General features: G+C 40.8%; 1 protein-coding gene across 3 annotated transcripts in view; it reads left to right on the top strand.

Annotated features, from left to right (window-relative positions):
• The window catches only part of PLD1 (phospholipase D1), a 210,080-nt gene that overhangs the window by 6,121 nt on the left and 181,427 nt on the right, over window positions 1-22,532 (top strand). The window contains exon 1 of one of the 3 annotated variants that reach the window (XM_047448316.1): window positions 6,973-7,175. The exons of the other annotated variants lie outside the window; for them this stretch is intronic. The gene's annotated coding sequence lies outside the window, so the exon portion shown is untranslated. Of the gene's footprint in view, window positions 1-6,972; window positions 7,176-22,532 lie in introns of those variants that run through there. 3 annotated transcript variants of the gene reach the window in all.

Raw genomic sequence — 22,532 nt, 5'->3', positions numbered from 1 at the left:
TATGGTGCCATTTAACTATTCTTAAAAATAAAATGTGTAGATGTAGAATGGACAGTCTGTGGCATTTTGGGTAAACAGCTGTACTCACTTCATTGATCTTTTTCTGCCCAATTTCTGATGAAGGAGTCCTTTGAAATAAAGAGTTTGAGTAGGTAGCCATGGGTTGGGATTGGAGATTTATGACTTGGAGCAGAAAAACATTTCCAGATGTGTAGGGCAGTGGTCCTCTGAAGATACAGACCCAAAAGTGAGAAATTTAACCAAAGGGGCTAAGAATAGGAAAAAAAAATGAAGATGATGTTTTAGATATTGTTTTTTAAATGTCACCATTATTCCTGCTTTGGAATAAAAAGAGGTAAGAGGTAAGGTAGGAGTACAGAATTTGGGGATGAAGTATATTTTTGGCACTAACATCACTGTGATGTTAAAACTATTTTTAAAAGATAATAAATACCCACACCTCTGACTTACTAATTATTTTACTAAATTTATTGCTCTCTATGCTATTTATGTTTATTATTTCTATATGGTGAAAATACTGTAACTATTGCACGTCTTCCCCAAACTGTATGTTCTAGTGATATCATGTTGGTAACTTGGAAGCGGCCATGATAGGAATTTCTTTTTTTGAGACAGAATTTCACTCTTGTTGTCCAGGCAGGAGTGCAATGGTGCTATCTCAGCTAACTGCAACTTCCGCCTCCCAGGTCCAAGCGATTCTCCTGCCTCAGCCTCCCAAGTAGCTGGGATTACAGGTGCATACCACCATGCCAGGCTTATTTTGTATTTTTAGTAGATACAGGCTTTCACCATGTTGGTCAGGCTGGTCTTGAACTCCTGACCTAGTGATCCTCCTGCCTTGGCCTTCCAGGAATATTTACACCATCGAAATTGGCAAACACTACAGTTAGGGTTTCTCCTCCACCCGGACCTGGTTGCTAAGCATTTCTCAGCACACCACTGGCTTTGCCCAGGGGGTATATCCGAGCTTCTCCACCCCATCTTTCTTTCTCATTATGACCAAAGAGATTTCTCCTGCACTTTTCTGTCAACCGTCACAGTGATTCTGAATTTGGGGATGTGGTTGGGGAGAAAGGAATACGCTTAGTTATGCAATGTTCTTATCTCTCTGTGCCTATGATCTGGTCTGGTACAAGTCTCAACTGCATTCAATTTAACCCTTGATTCTTCCTTTTGTAGAGATAGAATTCTCCCTGCAACCTCCTGAAGAGCTGGCCTTCCCTCCTTCTCCATCACAGTAGTTCCAAAGTCTGGCTAAACAAAATCACCTGGGAACTTCTTAAAATACAAATTTCCAGGTTCTATCACATATGTAATAAATTTAGATTCTTGAGGAATGGGACTCAAAATAGTATTTTGTAAGTTCCCTTGGGAGTTTGATGATCACCCCATGTGCCTTCTGGGCCCCTCTTGTGGGCTCTTGCTCTCCAGCCCTGGCACCTGTGTACCTTGCTTAGAATCAGGTCATCTGGGCTGCTGGACCCTGGCCACATTGTATGGTAGCCTCGATTTTTATGTTTGAACTCAAATTCTGATCCTGTGAAACTTGGTAATCAGGGGCCACTCTTTGCCCCATTGGCCTGATTTCTCATGCTCATTCATTGGAGCCTGGGTTTCTAACTAGGAAGGCAGCTAGCGTGTTGCAGGGAGACTATCAGAGGAGTCAGGTGTGCTAAGTTTCATTTCTACTTTAGCGTCTGTGTAACCTTGATCAACTTGTTTCTCACCTTTCTGAACTACAGTTGCCTATCTCCAGAGTTTGTTAGGAAGGTTGTTTTTAGAACACATCAAGCTTTGTTCCATCTTAGGGCCTTTTAATCATGCTATTCCCTCTGCCTGGAGCACACTTCTCCTAAGTCTTTGCATGGCTTCCTTCTTTTTTGTCATTTGGATCAATGACAAAATGGTCAAATGTTATCTCCTTGGAAAGGTTTTTTCCCTGACCATTGAAAGCTGCCTCACTTCACAGTCCACATTGCATTGCTTGCTACCTGATCCTGTTCCAGCCTTTCACCTAGGGTTATTTTCATGCTAGGATTCACCACTATCTGAAATTCTTTTTCTTTTCTCTTTTTCTTGCTTACTGGGTTTTCTACACAAGAACTTAAGCTTTATGAGAGTAGGGACTTTCCTGACATGTAGTAGGTGCTCACTAACTACTTGTTGAATGACTACCTTTCCAAGTTGTTATATAAATATATGATGTTAGTGTGAACCCTGGTTCCCAAGGGATTCATTTGTTTTCCTAATTGTTCTTTTCTGACCTCACAGATGTTGCTGTTTTTATGACAATGATTCATTGCTGAGATATTACTGCAATTTGGAACAAAGTGCTGCTCTCAACTGATGAGAAATAAAATCTGTAGCTTTCTATGTGAATGCCTCCTGTCGTTTTCAGAGAGCTTGCAAAAACTTGTTTCAGTTGCATCTGTCATGTGGGTGTATAATCTGTGATAGAATGGATCGATTAAACATGAAAGTATCGTAACATAAATGAGACTGATTTGGGGAAACTCCTGTTTCCTACCTTTTTTGAGTTCTACCGGGGTGGTTTTTGGTAGTGTCATGGGGACTAGGGAAATGTGTATCACTTTGTAAGAAAGGCAGGCCATAGGCTGGGCACAGTGGCTCATGCCTGTTATCCCGGCACTTTGGAAGGCTGAGGCAGGTAGATCACTTGAGGACAGGAGTTCAAGACCAGCCTGACCAACACGGTGAAACCTCATCTCTACTAAAAATACAAAAATTAGCTGCGTGTGGTGGTGAGTGCCTGTAATCCTAGCTACTTGGGAGGCTGAGGCAGGAGAATTGCTTGAACCTAGGAGGTGGAGGTTACAGTGAGCTGAGATCGTGCCATAGCACTCCAGCCTGGGTGACAGAGCGAGACTCCGTCTCAAAACAAAAACAAGAAACAAAAAGAAAGGCATGCCAGAAACGCATGTTGGATATGTTCGTCCTGTCTGATCTCACCAGATACACGGGGTAGGTTTGACTGACAGTGAAGTAATTTTTGCAGATCCATTGCCTGGAAGGCCAATAAAGTTGGCAGTGAAAGCTTTCATCCTGTATTTGCAATAGCCCCTCTTCAGGATGGTGTTGAAGAATTTATCAAGCACAGAGTCTTTTTGGTGCTAACACAGTACTAGGCCTAGGCTAGTGAGTCTAAAATGTGGTTCCAGCCCCACAGCTTATAGTCTAATGCAGTCATCCAAAGGCAGGACTGAATTGTGCAGCAGAATCCTGCCAGGCCTCCTGAAATGGGCTGGCTTTTATAATGATTGTATGTTCCAATTTTCCTTGATAGTGATTTTCAAACTGCTTTGTTTCAGGGCAGTACAGTGGTATGAATATTTGTCTTCCTCAAATTCATATGTTGAAATCCTCACCCCAAGGGGTGATGGTATTAGGAGGTGAGGCCTTTAGGAGATGATTAGGCCATGGTGGCTCTGCCCTTATCAATGAGATTAGTGCCTTTATAAAAGAGGCCAGAGAGGGACCTCTGACTCTCTTCACTAAGTGACGGGTTAGTGAAAAGGCAGCCTCTGGGGAAGCAGGCCTTCACCAGACACCAAATCTGCAAGCACCTTGATCTTGGACTTCCTAGCCCCCAGAACTGTGAGAAGTAAGTTTCTGTTGTTTATAAGCCACCTAGTCTATGGTATTTTGTTACAGTAGCCTGAGTGGACTAAGACAGGTGGCTGGCATTGGAGTAGAGATTGGGTCCAGGGATGTAGACAGCAGACTTCTGGAGCATCTCTAAATACCACATTTAATCAGAGCATCTCATTTAGAAAACATACTATTGTATATTTGCCTTTTAAAAATTATGTTTGGGCCAGGCACGGTGGTTCATGACTGTAATCTCAGCACTTTGGGAGGCCAAGGTGGGTGGATCACTTGAGATTAGGAGTTTGAGACCAGCCTGGCCAACATGGTGAAACCGCATCTCTACTAAAAATACAACAATTAGCCAGGTGTGGTGGTGCACACCTGTAATCACAGCTACTTGGGAGGCTGAGGCAGGACAATTGCTTGAACCAGGGAGACGGAGGTTGCAGTGAGCCGAGATCACGCCACTTCACTCCAGCCTGGGCAACAAAGCGAGACTCCATCTAAAAAATAAAAATAAAAAATAAAGAAGTAAAAATTATGTTTGTTTTAGATTTGCAGAAAAGTTGTGATGCTATTATAGCGAGTTTCAAAGGAGTACACAGTTTCCTCTATTATTAACATCTCACATAGGTATATGATACATTTGTTATAATTAATGAACAAATATAGATGCATTATTAAGTAAAACCTGTATTTATTTAGATGTTCTCCCATGTCCTTTTTCTATTCCAGTATCTTGCCCAGGATACCATGCTGCATTTCATAGTTGTGTCTCCTTGGGCTCCCTTGGTTATCATGGTTGCTCAGACTTTCCTTGTTTTTGATGACCTTGATAGTTTTGAGGGGTACTGGTTAGGTATTCTGTAGAATGTCCCTCAGTTGGGATTTTTATGATGTTTTTCTCAGGATTAGATTGGGATGATGGGTTTGGGGAGGGAGAGGACAGAGGTAAAATACCATATTTATTACATCGTATCAAGGGTACATACTATCAGCATGACTTATCACTGGTGATGTCCACTTTGATCACCTCACTGAAGTTGTGTGTGTAATGTTTTCCATTGTAAAGTTACTTTTTTCCTCCCTCTCCACACTGTACTCTTTGGAAAGAAGTCACTGTGCACAACCCATACTTTTGGGAGTTATGCTGTACCTCCTAGAGAGGGGGAAATGTCCTAAAAGGATTTCATTCCCTTTACTTCCTTTAATGTTATAGATTTTCTTTTGTATGTCATTAATTTTGGTCTAAAATAGAAAAGTAGTACACTTAGGTGGCCTTGTTTCACTTCTGTGCTAGTTCACAAACACAGAAACACTTTAGAAAGTAGTTTTAGTTGCAGGCAAGTCCTTCTTTTTTTTTTTTCCTCTTTTTTTTTTTTTTTTTTTTTTTTTAGACGGAGTCTCGTTCTGTTGCCCAGGCTGGAGTGCAGTGGTGTGATCTTGGCTCACTGCAACCTCCACCGCCTGGGTTCAAGCAATTCTCCTGCCTTAGCCTCCTGAGTAGCTGCGATTACAGGCTCGCACCACCACCCCCGGCTAATTTTTGTATTTTTAGTAGAGACAGGGTTTCACCGTGTTGGTCAGGCTGGTCTTGAACTCCTGACCTTGTGATCCACCTGCCTCGGCCTCCCGAAGTGCTGGGATTACAGGCATGAGCCACCGCGCCTGGCCTGAGTCCCTCTTTTTAAATGAAAGTTGTGGGCAGACAATTATGCTCAGAGACCAGATAATCTGGTCGAAGGGACCAGAATGATGCCCCCAAATCAGGTGTTGGTTAGTGGCTTAGTGTGCGGTAGGCTACCCATGAAACCTTTGTGCTCCGATGCCTGACTGAGGACACAGTCCTCCTAAAAAAGAGTGTGAGGCCCATCCCAGCATGGCTGACTCTCTAATGGCCAAGTTCTTTTGGGCCTGTGTGTGGCTTAGCTCTCAGGACGGTCAGGTAATATGTCCAGAGCTGGGCCTTGGGACCTGGCTAGACAGACCTGAAGAGTTTTCTGTTGCAATCAAATAAAGGATAACAATATTAATTTGGAACATGTTGAGAAGACATTGTTGTAATTAAGCACAAGTTAAGCATACATAATAAGCACTTCACATAATTGATTAGAATTATTTTAACACAACCAAAGCAAGATCCAAAAATTCAAAACAAAAATTCAATTCTCAGTCTTTCTCTCTTTCTCATGCTAGTGACCATTATTGACACTGTCACCTGATTTCACCTAGAATTTATTTCTCAATTTACTTGATATTCTCTAAGTCATAGCACTTAATATGATGACTTCTGTACAGCAACAGTTTCCTTACGCCTGATTTCCTAGGGCCAAGGACTCAAGGAGTCTGTAAAATTTGACCATAATTTAAAATTGGTCATATGTTCGATGAGTAGGAGAGTTGATGTGAAGCAAGGGAGGTATCATAGCCCCAGCCTAGAAAGGTCTCTAGACCCTTTGCTCTGTGATGCAAAAATGGTTTAGAATTCCTTTAGTAGAGAATGTGTAAGTGATTGTAATTCACTGAGCACTCCCTTATCATTTAGTTCTGTATCCCACAGCATTTTAATCAGTCTACTTTGATCCTGTCCGACTCACTTTCCTGCCATTGCTGGTTATATAATAGGACAATCTTACTTAAGTAGCGGTGTTACCTGGATTCAGTGGCCTGAGAATTTTTTCCTTCCCTTTAATGTTTCTTTAGGTTTCACATTTTAAGGGTCAGTGACACTTAACTGTTATCTATTGTTTCACAGATGAGTCATAGAAAAATGGAAAATGAGTTTGAAAATTATCCTCACAGGACAGCCATCGTGAAACTTACAAGGAAAAATGGCACTTAGGGAGTAATAAGTCTCTAAAAAATTCTAAAGATTGAGGGAAAAAAAAATTAACCCTCAAAGAATTTAGCCAACTTCAGTCAGTTTTAAATAAGAGGCCCAAAATAAACAAGTGAGAAATTTGAAAACTTCATTCACATTAATACATGCCAGCTTTTTTCATATTATTAGGATATTTGCATATATTTTGGTCAAAAGCTGCTTACTTAAAAATATGTATTCAGAAGAAAAATGTCCATAATATGCTATAGTATTTTTTTTTTAAAGACAACCTTCTAAGTTTGCCTCTGAAATTATCCTGGGAGCAACTGCCCTCTGGGGATTCATGGTCTAGTGCAGTGGTTCTCACACTCTACTGTGCACCAGAATCCCTGGAGGGCTCAGGAGAACACAGAGGGCTGGGCCTCACCCTAGAGTTTCTGATTCAGTAGGTCTGGGCTGGGCAGAGAATTTGCAATTCTAACAAGCTCCGAGATAATGCTGATGCTGCTGGTTTGGGGACTACAATTTGAGAGTCACTGATCTAATGGTTTAGCTGACACATCAGTAAACACAATTCAAAGATTAAATGCTGTGAAATAAGTACAAGTAACATGCAATGGGAAACAGGGTGTGGAGAGGTGGGGCAATAGATGAGTGAACAACTACAGATCGGAGAAGCCATATGGAAGCAGAAAGGTTAAGCAGGATTTCGAAGCCTTGGCAGGTAGGGCATTTTGGAGATGACACTCTACTGTTGGGAGGGAGAGTGCAGAATGTATATGGGAGTGGGAGTATAGCCTAGCACAGGTGGAGAGTAAGGGTGATGTGAGGGGAGGAACAACCATGAACAGGTGGAATTAAGAATGAGAGAGCTGGAAAGTTAAACTAACATGTTCTTGGTTTTTGGAGTTTGGCAGCAAAGGAAAAGCATGATCAGAGCTATGCTTAAGAAGGGCAGCTCTGGCATTGCGACGGATGGTGCAGGAAGAGAAAGAGTGATTTTGGGAGAATCAGGAATTATTGAGGCAGCCCCATCCAGAAGCAAGGATAGGCTGAAGAAGAGCATGAAGATGGGAGGGATACAGTCATGTGATGCATCTGTAGCAGAAGCCACAGATTTGGTAGTTGATTGGTTCCTGAAAATGAGAGAGAGGGAAGAGTCAAGGGAGAGTGAGGATTCAAAGTCTGAATTGTTGGTGAAGAGTGTTGGTAATGGCTGGATCTCTCAGAAGAAATAATGGATAAGAAAAAGAACCTCCTGGGCCTTGGTTTCTTCAGGAGAGGAGTGGACTAGATACTCTTAAAGGTTTCTTTGTAATTGTAATTAAGGGTTTGAGGGTTTTTGGTTGTCTGAAATATGATAGAACACAGTAGTACAAAAAGTTAATGGCTTATGTATAACAGGCATTCGTATATTTGTTGATTAGTTGATCCATGACAATCATTAGCTCTGAAATAGTTACATCTGCAAATAGTCTTCTTTCTCAGCTCTTCATTTTGCTATGGTTTTCTTAGTATGTTGACTTACTCTTCCTCCCATTTTATAAACTATGAATATCAACCTTTTTTTGATATGTGCTCTATGTATATATTTTAAACAAGTACAGCAGGTAATTTAAACATCTCTTTGGCTATTTCTTACATCATAATAATCACACCATATATGGAGATATTTATACACAACTCTGTCTTTCCCACTGGATCATAAACTCCTTTTGGGTAAGGGACATATCTTACTCATTTTCGTCTTCTTCACTGCACTCATCGTAAATACTTACAAAAAGTGGACAGCAAATGTTTGGGGAACTGGATTGAATCATTGGGTAAGAGTAAATTACTATCTGTTCTTTTGGGAGAGACCAATGTCTCAGACAATAAAGAGCAATAGTTTAAAGGGAAATGGAAGTCCATATATCCTAGGAAGTAGAAAGAGGAAACACATTTAATTCAGTAGACTCTCAAAACTAGAATAGAGATATTCATGGACACTTTAGGGACTAGAAGCAGAAGCCCATAAAAAGTAGCACAGTGTTTAGCTCTATCTAAATTAACTATTGAAAACCTTGGGCCAGACCTTTCCATTCTGGGCCTCAATTTTCTCCTTTGTAATATTGAGGTTGTACTAAATTACAAAGTTTTAGAACTCTCTGAACACCCTTTTGGGAAGAATTCTAAGCAGAGGGAATAGCATGAGTAAAACACAAGAAATGGGTAAGAGTATGTGTGTTCTTTGTGACTGGGTGTGATGTGCTAGGAAATTAAGCAGGAATGGCAGGTGGAGGCCTTGTTTCAGAGGGCCATTTCTCCTAAGATAAGGAGCCTGGACCCACCCTATGATGATAGGTGGTGTCTTGTGCAGAGATTTGTGCCAGGTGGTTTAATTGGGAATGGCATCCAGGGAGCAGGGGTGAAAGACCAGAGACAGTCATCTAGGGAAGGAGGCAATGGTAATACAAGGAACCAATATTGGAGCATCATTGCTATAGGCAGCTGGTTGCTTTATTCCAAGAGATTATCTGAGAAGTTTTATGAAATGCACTCAGCACAGTTTATGTAGAGAAAAAAAGGGAGAAGCTTTTATCCATGTTTCTTGTCTCCCATTGAATAAAGGCGGCCCCACTTCTGGATTGCACATGTATGACTGCCAGGTTCCCATGGGCGACACATGAAACAGCAACAGAGGAGTCTAGGGGTGAGTGGGCCTGTCAGTTTGCACTTGTGTGAAGCTGGTTAAATTCTTCATGGAACTGGTTGCGATGGCAATGCAGGAATAAGAAGCAAGTTTGAGAGGATTTGAAGTAGTCCGTAAAAGGAGGCCAATGAAGGGAGCTATTGAGAGATTTTAAACAAAGGAACACCTAATCAGAATGATATAATGGTGTGCTTGTAAGTGTTTAACAACCAGCTCTCCAGAAAATGTGCATGCGCATATGTCTATTATAAATTGTACTGATACAAAAGATGTGTTGCACACAATTACAAGTAGTAATAAAATACTCTTTATCATTAAATCTATATAGCTAATTGATTTAGACAGATTTCTGTTGGTTTTTTTTGAACTCTTGTATCCATAGCCTAGTCATGGTTACAATTGATGAAAGAACATATTGATATTTTCTTTTTATATTATTGTATAATTTGAAAGTGAAGCAGCAAAGGTGTATCCCAAAACTTTACTTGTTCAGGGAACATCTTCTTTATGAATTGTCCAGTACTTTTTTTTTTTAATACTAGAGGAATATTTCCTCAGTTTTTTGTTTTATTCACGATGTAACTACTACAAGCACCAGGCATTTTATTAACATTTTCTCTATCACCTCCTAAGGCCTAGACAATTAGCAAAACAGAAACGATGTGATTATAGTGTTTGTCAATTTCAGTATGAAACTACCCTCATCATGGCCAGTATCAAGTTATGGTGAATTGGGAAAAGATGCACGGTAGAAGCACAACACAACATTATGTAGTCTTTTCACATCCAGTAGTCTCCCCTCATCCAAGGGGGATATGCCCCAAGACCCCCAATGGATGCCTGACATCTCAAACAGTACTGAACCCTATACACGCTATGATTTTTTTCCCTATACATACATACCTATGATAAAATGTAATATATAAATTAGGTACAGTAAGAGATTAACAATAACTAATAACAAAATAGAAGAGTTATAATGGTATACTATAATAAAAATTATGTGAATGTGATCTCTCTTTTTCTCTCTCTCTCAAAATATCTTATTGTACAGTACTTTTCTTTTTTTTTTTTTGAGATGGATTCTTGCTCCCCTCGTGTAGGCTGGAGTGCAGTGGCACGATCTCGGCTCACCGCAACCTCCACCTCCCAGGTTCAAGCGATTCTCCTTCCTCAGCCTCCCGAGTAGCTGGGATTATAGGCGTGTGCCACCACGCCCGGCTAATTTTTATATTTTTAGTAGAGACGGGGTTTTGCCATGTTGGCCAGGCTGGTCTCAAACTCATGATCTCAGGTTATCCATGCGCCTCGGCCTCCGAAAATGCTGCGATTATAGGCGTGAGCCACCACTCCCAGCCCCTTCTTGTGATGATGTGAGATGATAAAATGCCTGTGTGAAGATGAAGTGAGGCGAATAACCTAGGCAGTGTGACATAAGTGGAAAACGCCAGAAATAAACAATTCATGTTATAAATTGTGCACCATTCTGAGTAGTGTGATGAAATCTTGCACTCCTCCATTCCATCCTGCCAGCATTGCCAGTCACTCGGTGGCCATCTCTGTGATCAGATTAACAGTGGTTTTATCAGTATCATAGGGCTTATGTTCAAGTAACTGTATTTTACTTAATAATGGCTACAAAGTGCAAAAGTAGCGATATAATATTTTTGGACCATGGTTGACTGCAGGTAACTGAAATTTTAGTTACATGAAACCACAGATAAGGGGGGACTGCACTACACATAAAATAGGCATAAGTAACCTCAAGACAATAGACATTATTAAAATATAGAAAAGTAATAAAGAAGTGATAAATGGAGAACTTTTGCTTTAATATAATTTATTGTAAGTTTATATAATTTAATTTTTAGTAACTTCAATTTTTAATATTTTAATTTTTAATGATTTATGTGTTTAACAACTGACTCACAAAATTGCTGAAAATTTCCCAATCTTGATGAAAATTTCCCAGTCTGCTCTCAGGAGCCTATATGAGCCAGCCCAGAATACCACTGGAGTTATAATTTTAGAAGATTACCTTGGTAGCAATCTGTAGAAATGTTTTGTAGGGGAGCTACAGTAGGGATCAAAAGTGGAGACAGATTACGAAATGTCTTCAGACCCTGCCAGCATGAGGGTTCAAATGATGTCTAGTCAGTGGAGATCACGCAAATTTCACTGGTTTGTGTTCCCACGTGGATCCGTAGGACCTTCAATGCAAGTCTCCTTCAGGTATTCCTGGTGGTATCTTGGCATTGTCTCACATGTGTTTTGAGAGCCCCACTTCCTTGGGGAGTCTTCCGCTTTGGCTTCCTTGTTGATGACCGTGGGCCAAAGGGCTTTGTGTGTGAGGCTCCACCTCAGCCATAGCTGGTGTCCTCCTGAAGAGGATTTATGCCAAAAGGAGTCACATGCCAGGACTTGTTTTTTTCAAGTTTGCAAATCTGGGGGGAGGGTGGGGCTCTAGAAAGATGCTGGAACCTGGTATGTGCCCTGCAGAAATGTCCTTGACTCCTTTTGTCACCAGGAGCCTAAATTTACTGTGTTTCTCTGTGACTCACAGAGGCAGGGGGAAAGACAATCCTCTCCACTTCTTCCTGCAGCTACTTGCTCCATCAGCCTCAGCCAGTCTGGGGCTGGGCAGGGAAACAGGCCCTCTTCCTTCTCCTGGTTTGTCCCCTGGTTTGCTCAGCGAGACCTTCGTGTCTGAGGGCCCCCTTCTCACCTTGCAGATCAGCTGGTGTGGTACTGAATGCCTGATGGATGGCCAGGGGCCCCTGATCCATCTGCATTCCCAGAATATAAGAATCTCATTTGGGGCCACCCAGCCCCCACTACTCTTAGTATATGAAATAAGGTGGAATAGATAAGAGGATGGAACTGGCCCCTGGGTGCATGATGGGGCCAATAACGGAGGTACAGGGTGCATATGTGGCTGGGCTGTGAGACAGGGAAAGAGGATGGAATTGAGATGCAAGGTAGAAAAGCATGACTATGTTCAGTTTGGGACTTGATGAAATAGATACTGGTAGGACAGTTCACTAGGCACTGGGCCTTCAGGAGAAAGAGAAGAAAGGAATGGTGGCATTGGGAGTAGTAAAGCTGTGGGTATGAATGAGTATCTATGAGACTCACCTCCCTGTGAGGACATAGAATGAGGAGACACAGTCTACAGGTAGACTAGGTCGAGTTCAGAAGCCTGAAGAACACCAGTGTTTAAGGGATGGTGTTGGGAAAGGGAGCCAGGCCAGCCAGAGAGGAATGTTCCGGAACTCTGAAAGGAAGGAAATGGCAGGAACAAAGGAGCTGGGGCACAACAGTGGTGACTCACACTGGGAACACTTCGGCCCATTGTGTTTATGCTTATAGTTTCCCAAGTTTATCTTTTCAGGGTTATGATTACGTTAACCTCACCTCCCTCCCTCCCTCTAAAACAAAACAAAAAAAAAGGAGTGAAAGACTCTTCAGTATTATGAATGGCCCCAGGTGAGGAAGACATCTGACACGTTTATATCATGTCAATACTTCGATCCAGCCTTTTACAGTCAGTGTGAGGAGAAAACACATTTACTTGAAGCTAAAGGAATAGGAAGTGTCAGCTTTTTCCTGTTTGATGTTTCTTGTTGTGTTTTCCATATTAATCACTTCATTTTCCCCTTGGTCACAGGCCTGATATTTTTTTCCCTACACATGTCAGCTGCCTAGTGTGTCAGGCAGTTTTTCACCGTGATATAGAGACACAATAGAGCTGGAGCTGGCAAGGTGACTGCCAGAAATGTGTGTCACTCTTGATGGTTATGTTCACGAGCATCCAGAAAGCCCAGTGCTCCTGAACTGAATTATAGGCTTTGAAATGACCATGTGGTTTGCATTCGGCAAAAAAATATACCCCAGACATGTGCAAGGGTTGTTGGTTTGGGGAAAATTAGATGACTCCAACATGAAAAGACAGAGCCTATCTAAAGAGATAGGCTAGTGTGAGGTTTTTTTACAGCACAAATCTGTTGAATAAGTGGATTTGGATGTAACCACAGGCTTGCCATATGAAATTCTATTCCATGGGAATTAAAGTTTGTGGCTTTGTGAAGGCATTTGTTGCAGACTATGAAAAGTTCTCATATTCTTTTGCCAAAACACAGAAACATGGAGAAATACGAAAAAGCTTTTACTGTGGCTGTCTCCTCTAATCCTCTTAAACACTTAATGTGTCCTATGTACATAGCAGTGAAATTAAATACAGCTATTCCTGATAACGTAGCAACTTAGATGTAAAAGTCTACTGCTAAGGGAATAGGAAGACTAAAGAAAACAATTCTTATATCAGTTAGGAATTGTGTTTCACTACAAGTATCAGAGCCCCCAGGTAGTGGCTTTATTTCTCATGTATAAACAGTCCAGAAGTAGTCCGTTGGGAGCTGGCATGACGGCTCTAGAAGTCATCAGTCTCTAGAGCTCTCCAATCTGCCACCTCCAGGATGTGGCCCTTGTCTGAGATGGCTGCTGGGGCTCTCAACATCATATTTACATTACAGACAGAGAATAGAGGAAGAGGAGCATGCCAGCTTCCTTTGCAGGCCCTGTCTCATAATTCCAGTACTCCCAATTACATCTCATTGGCCAGAGCTTAGTAACATAGCCACACCTCACTGTGCATCTCTAAATTATCATAAATCTCATTTTTTGAAAAATTAACTCACAATCTTCTCTTCTCCTGGCCATTATTGCAAGAGATTGGGAGAGAGCTAGTACAAGAGTGAGATTCTTTAGTGTCTTTCTGGGTGATTCCACGCCAAGAGGTCTTCCTCTGTGTCCTCACAACAGTAATAACCGTAACATCATGAATCAGTCAGGGTTTACCAGAGATGCAGACTTAGTAGGTTACATGCATTAAGGGATTTATTACAAGGAATTGGCTTCCTCAATTGTGGGACTGGCTAAACAAGCTTGAAATCCACAGGGCAACCAGTCAGGCAGGTAGACCATGAGCAGGCTGGATCCCTGTGAGTGGAGCTGAAGCTTGGAGTCTCTGAATCCAGGGAGGGCCTAAGCCCTCTTTTAAAGGACTTTCAGCTGATTACCTCAGTTCTACTCAGGATAATCTCCCTTTTGACTAACTAAAATCAACTGATTACATACCTTACATCTGCAAAATCCCTTCACAGCAGCAGTAGATTAGTACTTGATTGAATAACTAGGTAAAGGCATGTGTGTACATGCATGCTGCAAAATGTTGCTGTCTCCTTTCTTTTCCCCACCTCTTAGGAGAGAATATCCTTTGACCCTACGTGGAAGCCTACAAGAAGGGGAATTCTGGGCAATGTGGTTCAGCCCAGCCACATCACATACTATTATTTAGTAGTCATGAAGAGAGAGACATAGGTAAAAACAGCAGTTAGTATTTCTTCATTCTGATATCTGGCAGCAAGTGAGTGATGCTACCATTATCGGCTAAAATCAGGAACTGGTATTAATGCATTTTGTTTTGTTTTGTTTTCTGCTTTATTCTCCTCTGTCATAGACAGTGAAGAGTAAGTGAAGAATTTGAGGGTCATCAGCCATTGTGAACTCATCAAAGTTAGTAGCACTTAAAATTTGCTTTTAAAATGAATGGAAAGATGTCCAAGTTTTCAATAGCACAAATATTTTTTTCTCATTTGTACCTTTTTTTTGTCTTTTGTATACAGATATTCCCACTCTGGCCACTGCCCAAAGGGGCTCTTATCTGAGGAATACTGCTGACTTCGTGTACCTAGTTTTACAGAGCCATCTTTCTGAAGCATAAATTAGATTACATTATTCTACAGCTTAAATCCCTCCATGAACTTCCCATCACCCAAGAGTGGATCTGAAACGCCTTAGAGTGTCATTCAAGACCCTTCTGTATGTGGCTGCCATGCATTTTTTTCAACTTTATTTCCAGCCTTGCAATGTACATACATCCATCTCTGTCCCACGCCCTCTGCAGGGCTTTTTGGTTCCAGAACGTGCCATGTGCTTTTCTCCTTTGGAGCTCTTTGAATAGGATGCCCTTCCTCCCTTGTCTGCCTGTAGATAGAAAAATCCTGTGCATTGGTGAGTTGGCCCTGACCACCATTTTCTTAGCATGCTGAATTACTTCTGTTCCCCTCTGTGTTTGCACAGCTTTGTTTGTGCACAGTAGACTTTTGGCTGGGCCATGTAGACTGCCTCCTCCATGAGTTTGCCAGCTTTTTGAGGACAATGTCTGTTTTATTCATCCTCGAATTCTCAGTGCCTAGCAGAGTGCATAGCACAGGGTAGTTATGCAATACATATTGGAGTAAAGGAATACAGTTCAAAAAAACAGTCTCATTAACAGATGCAAACCAACTCCTCTCATGACGCAGAGAATCTAAGCTCAAACAAATTACCAGAGTTGGCAGTTGAAGTACTATATATAGACAGAACTTAATAAATGCTTTTCTTTGTCTTAAGCCTTTGATGACAGTGATGTGTTTTTATGAACGTAGATAACCACAAGCAGATGTGTCAAAGCTCTTTTGTCCAGGAATAAACTGAGTTTCGTCATCATCTTGACAGTACTTTCCTGGATGAGTGTTCAGGAAACATGAAAAGTTTTTAAACAATTCAACAAATGTGTAATAAAAGTTTGTTACCTTGTTTTATTTGTTGTTATATTGTCTCTTGGCTTGAGTTTTTATTTGGGAAGCTAATAGAGAGACGGGATATTAGAAAACCAGAGGCAAACTGCTTGGTTTATTGAAGCACTAACTGAATGAATGCAGGTATACGAGTAATCCAGGAATCCCATGCATTAAGGAAAAATTTATTTCTATCACCTCTGTATTGTTGTTACCTTGTGAACCTGGCTTGGTTTTTTCAGCAGTTGGTAAACTGATAAGCCTGTTTCTCACTCTGTCATTCATCTCATCAGTTTACCAGCCCAGAAATACTCCTTTCAGTCTTTACAAAAAAAAAAAAAAAAAAAAAGAAGTGCAGATGCACTCACAAACACAAAAGTTAATTTATTATTATTTTTTTTTTTTTGAGATGGATTTTTGCTCTTGTCACAAGGCTGGAGTGCAATGACGCGATCTCAGCTCACAGCAACCTCAACCTCCCGGGCTCAAGTGATTCTCTGGAGCAGCTGGGATTACAGGCGTGTACCACCATGCCCAGCTAATTTTTGTATTTTTAGTAGAAATGGGGTTTCACCATGTTGGCCAGGCTGGTCTCAAACTCCTGATCCCAGGTGATCCACCAGCCTCAGCCTCCCAAAGTGCTGGGAGTATAGGCATGAGCCACTGCTGCACCCGGCTGAATTTTTTTCTTGAGGCTGACAATCATACAATTTTTTTTTTCTTACAAAATATTTTTCTAGTTTTTTTTTTCTTAAAAAAAACCAAGTTGGTTCTAATAATATCTAAATTTCATTAAATTACCAGGGAAAAAATATTTTCTTTTCCTAAATGAGAATTCAGTGATAATATGCTTGCTGCTCCATAGAAGGTGGCTGTTCTTTAACTTGTATCAACCTTCCTTGTTTGTACCATGCCCCCAACACACATACACATACCACACCATACCATGAATATTAACAAGGGAAAAATGGCCTGAATTTTATTTTCTGGGTATGATGACATTCAAATGAGTTATAAAATATGCAAATGTATTTTAGATTCCTTTCTTGGTGCACAAATCCATAACATTTTTCTCCTAGGTTGATAATATGGTCATGAAGTTCTTGGGTGCTGCATTTTGTACAACCAGCTCTTGCAATGTGAGAGAACCATCATCCACTTGGGGGCACCCAGGTACTTAATGAAAAAAAAAGAAGGCATTGCCAAGAGAAAGTAATTTGATCACAAAAATAAGGGAAAATACTCAGGGTAGATAATCTATTCCAACATAACAAATCCAGAAAGTAGGCCTGTGTTGTACAGAGATGACCATGCCCTACAGACACCTAATGTACCATACAGACTCGGTAAAACCCTGGTCAGCTACCTGTTAGTTGGTACTTCAGCACAGGCATGTAGCCTGAGAGACAGAGGGGCCCAGAGGTGGACAAGCAGAATGGGCATTGATTGGGAAGAGAATTCAACTGTAAGCTTTCCAGGGCAGGGACCATGTTTGGTTGACTCTCTGTTGTGTGCTGGGTGCCTAGCACTCTACTGTAGATATGAACTCAGTAATATTTGTTTAATGAATGGCTGGCTGGATGAATTGAGTGAATCTAGGAGGAATTTAACAGGAAATGGATGGACAGAGACTGAAGGTTTAAAGCAGTGATAACTTACCGATGAAGGGAGTTAGTTAGCATGAGGCATCACTACGGAGGCACTGCACGTATTGAAAGATCTATTTGATTGGCTAGAATGTTTGCATAAGAGATAAGAATTCATAAGGAAATTCCCATGTTACCTATTCTAGTTGCAGTTTTGTCAGATGAGATATTTTGTGATATTTATTATATATAAAATATATTTCTTTAAATGTTGATTTGTATTTTGAGTAAGTAATTAAACGACACAGAAGCTCAACTGACATGGAAGTTTAAATTACAAATTTTATGGTGCCATCCCGAACAGTAATGTTGCTTTGAGCAAAAGAAATTCTGAAATGCTGTTTGAGTCCTCAAACAGTATTCAATTATGATAAAAATATTCTAGTGCTCCTAATTCTTTATTCTGTCTAATTCTTTGAGATTAGAATAATTCTAATACTTTGGATATCCAAGTATCTGCTTAGACAGCTCGATTGCTGCATTTCTCTCTGACTCTGGGCAGACAGGATTCTATAATGCAGAATCAGTCTTACCAGCCATTTCCAGATGGACTTGAGGGTGGCTGCTCCTTGGTTTAGAAAGACAATCTTACTGGATCTTTTCTTTATCTTCCTGGACTCAGAAATTCACTTTTATTAGTTCAGCCAGGGATAAATGAATCCTACAGGTTTGCTTAAAATCAGATTCACTGGGATTGATGAAGAGCAGGATAATAGTTTATTTATTCTGAGAAATTGCTATTTCCAAATAGTTGGAAAAGTTTATTGGTGGGTAATTATTCTTCTGCCAGGAAAATGTGCCACGAACCTACATTAAGGTGACAAGATTGCTTTATTCTGCTGAGCAGAATAAAGGGAGCCTGATGGCCTTAATCCTATAATACTGTTTCCAGTTTGGAAAGTCAACCCAAGAAACATTTATTGAGGGCCTACTGCATGTGAAGGAAAGGAAGCTGGCAGTTATTGAACCCCTCCTGTGTGGTAAGCACTGTTTAGTGCTTTAACACTTTGGTTTTTACATGCTTGTTGCATTTAATCCCATTGAATGGGTAAATCACTGTAGAGAGTACAGGGCTGAAAGAAGCAGCCTCTGCCCACAGGGATGTTCTAGACCTGTACTGTCCAGTATATTGTCCCCTAGCCACACGTGGTTATTTGAGAATTGAAATGTGGCCAGTCCAAGTTGAAATGTGCTCTAAGTGTAAAATAGACACTGGAGGCTGGGCGTGGTGGCTCACGCCTATAATCCCAGCACTTTGGGAGGCCAAGGCGGGCAGATCATGAGGTCAGGAGTTCAAGACCAGCTTGAACAACATGGTGAAACCCCGTCTCTACTAAAAATACAAAAATTAGCTTGCCGTGGTGGCACGTGCCTGTAATGCGAGCTACTCGGGAGGCTGAGGGAGGAGAATCGCTTGAACCAGGGAGTCGGAGATTGCCATGAGCTGAGATCATGCCAGTGCACTCCAGCCTGGGCATCGGAGCAAGACTCCATCTAAAAAAAAAAAAAAAAATAGACACTGGATTTCCTAGTACACAAGAAATGTAAAATATCTCATTAATAATTTTTGTGTGGATCACATTTTGACATGACACAGTATTTTGGTAAATTAGGTTAAATAAACTCATTAAATTATTTTCACCTATTTCATTGTACTTTTGATGTGGCTACTAGAAAATTTAAAATTATATATGTGGCTCACTTTTGTAACTCATACCGTATTCGGTCGGAATAGAGAACAGAATAGAGGTAAGACATAAACATAAATTGTTGAGATCTAGGCTCTCTTCCAACCTTATGACAAGCATTTAAATTGGAGTAAACATTTCAAAGGATACTTTGGCAGTATCCCACAACAATAAAATCTGGATCTGTACAGGACTTACTGTAGTATTCCTGTAGTACTCTGTCTGTACTTCAGAGACAGAATGCCGAGCTTAAAATAGGTGCACCTAACACTGTATTTAACTTTTCCTTATGATTCCGTCTAAAATATGTATTTGTATGTTATTAGCTGTTAATTGACTATAATATGCCAGGCACTGTGTGAGGTGTCCACTACAATGGTAAATATGGAGATCCAGATTCAAATATTAGATGATTCTCTCTAAGGGGGGAGTTTCTATAGATATTTGCTATCTATAGGTAGCTATGATACCAGATACAAAGTGATAGATGCCTTATGTGTGGCAGGTAAAAAGCTTTGGTGGTTCTAGAGGAGTGTGGTCACTGTCTGGCTTGGAGCCTGTGTTTGAGCTGGAGCTTGAAGAAAAATAGGATGTCTATGGAAAGATTGGGCAGGTTGCAGTGGTGGTGATCCAGGGGAGGGAACAGCAAGAGGAAAAGCTCAGAGATGAGACATTCTTTGGGAAGAATGGGGCTAATTCATTTGCCTGGGACATGGCATGTGTGCAGGGGAATGATAAGAGACTGGACTTTAATAGTGGAAGGTCAGGCTAGGGAATCTGGACTTTTTTTCCTGGGTACTTAAATGTTATTCAAATGGTTTCTTAAATACACAATTAGCGGTCCCTCTAAAATTCTGAATGCCTGAACACGTGCTACTGTCTTTTTTTTTTTTTTCCTTCTGAGAATGAGGTGACTTAGTGCTTACATGTTTTTAAAATAAATTCTCTTGAAATAATTACTTTGAGACTAGTTTCTTCAAATCCTCCAAATGTGGTATTTGTTTTGTTCCAAGCAGCAACATGTGCTTTTTAGGAGTGAGAACTATAAGACACAAAGAGTTGAGCTGAGACAGGAGGATACATTTTTCTCTGATAGCCAATTTGTTGAAGGGTTCAAAAATTACACCAGCTCTTTATGTGTCTTATATTTCCCATTCTATGAAAGAAAATCACTTCCGTAGAAGTTATTTTTAAGAATATGAAGTCAAATAATACCCCTGGGTCTTGAAAAGACCAAATGGGTACACATACTATCCAGACACAGAGAGTATAAGACAAGAGTCCTGAAAATGCTGGAGAGTGTTACAGTTAAGAGGGTGGGCTGGGCGCAGTGGCTCACACCTGTAATCCCAGCACTTTGGTAGCCTAAGGCAGGCAGATCACTTGAGCCAGGAATTTGAAACCAGCCTGGGCAACATAGGGAGACTGCATCTCTACAAAAACATCACTACAAAAATTAGTCGAGTGTGATGGTGCGTGCCTGTAGTCCCAGCTACTCGGGAGGATGAGGTGGGAAAATCACTAGAGCCTGAGAGGCAGAGGTTGTAGTGAACCGTGATTGTACTACTGTACTCCAGCCTTGGTGACAGAGCAAGACCCTGTCTCAATAAACAAACAAATAAACAGGCAAACAAACAAACAAACCCTATCTCAATCAATAAAATAAAATAAAAAAAACAGGAGTCAAACATTTAGATTTAAATCCCAGCTCTACCATCTGCCAACTTTTATGCTCTGTCTTGTAATATCCTCAGATCAACACTTTTACGTCCACTCCTTTGACTCTGCCACCTTTTTACTTTCCATTAATGCCCTGTGTAGTCTAACTTTCCACTTTACTCACCTTATCTGCTTGGTCCACTGTTGTGGTTACTCTACTTGCCTCTCTCCTCTTTCTATCCTAGTCTCCTGCAAAACACAACCCTGGTTAAAATCACAGTTACTCAGGCATAACTCTACACTTTCTTCCAAACCACGGAGCATTCCTGGAAAACACACACACAACACTCTGATGACATTAAATTAATCACGCCACCCTCCACCCCTGCCTCCACTGATACTCAGCCCTCTCTGGCAACCCTACTTCCCTAGTAAACTCACTCTCCCAGGTGACTATTTCACACCTTTGTTTCTTTCCTCAAACCCCTAACATCCCTTCCCAGACTCTCTCTTTCAGCCATGGATCTTACTGCTTATATCACTGGGAAACTAGAAGCAGTTTCCCAGCTCCCATATTCTCTTGCATCCATCCATCATCTGTCCCCCATCCCCTGCTCTTTACCATGGACAAACGTGCATCCTCCTGGTTGACATCCATTGCACCCCAGTGGACCCCATCTGTTGCTCTTGCCTGTTCAGAACTCTGCTTCCATAGTTTCTGCCCACTAGCTTCATTAAAGTTCCTCTTTTTACAGGATCATTCTTATTCAAACATTCCATAATGTCTTCCTTCTTTACAAATACCTCCTCTTAATTCTTCATCTCCCTCCAGATTTGCCTCATATCTTTGTTCCTCTTTAAAGCAAAACTCTGATAAGTTGTCAGTTCTCACTGTCTCCAATTCCTTACCCCACATTCTCTTCTAACAACATCTTGTAAACATTTCAAACATGCAGGAAAGTTGAAAGAATGTTAAGGTGAACACCCATAAGCCACCACCTAGATTCTACAATCAATAGTTTGCTTTATTGCTTGAACATACGTCTTGTCACCCATCTATCCCTTTATCCTTTCATCAATTCAATTTATGTTTTGGATACATTTTAAAGTAAGTTGCAGGCATCAGTACACTCACTCCTAAACATTTCAGGGTACATATGATTAATTTCCTTCCCTATTTGTTTATAGTTCTCTTTTGAAGTAAAATTTATATACACTGAAATGCTCAAATCTTTAGTGTACCATTCAGAGTTCTGAAAAATGCATGTACCACCTCTGCAATCCAAACCCTTTTCAAGGTACAGAACATGACCATCGCCACAGAAAGTTCCCTCATGTTGCTTCCCAGTTAGTCCCCAGACCACCCTCTTATGCTCTGCCAGAGGCAACCACTGTTTTGATTTTTTTCCCACAATATGTTATTTTTGCCTTTCTAGAAGATTAACAAAATTGAATCATACAATGTATGTACTCTTTTATGTAAGGCTTCTTTCACTCAGCGTAATGTTTCTGAGATGTATTCATATCATGTGTATCAGTCATTCATTCCTTTCTGAGTGAATCCATTCCTTTCTGAGCTGCTGAGTATCATTCCATTGTTTGATGATACAACAGGTTGTTTATTCATTTTTCTACGGGTGGATGCCTGAGTTGCTTCCAGATTTTGACTATGGTGAATGGAGTCTTTTTTTGTGGCTGTGTTTTCTTTTCTCTTGGATAAATACTTTGGAATGAAATAACTGGGTCATAGGATAGGTGCATATTTAGTTTTATAAA

Source organism: Homo sapiens, chromosome 3 (assembly GCF_000001405.40).
Source record: "Homo sapiens chromosome 3, GRCh38.p14 Primary Assembly".
Classification (NCBI taxonomy): Eukaryota; Metazoa; Chordata; class Mammalia; order Primates; family Hominidae; genus Homo; species Homo sapiens.
This window is presented reverse-complemented; position numbering and strand designations above follow the sequence as displayed.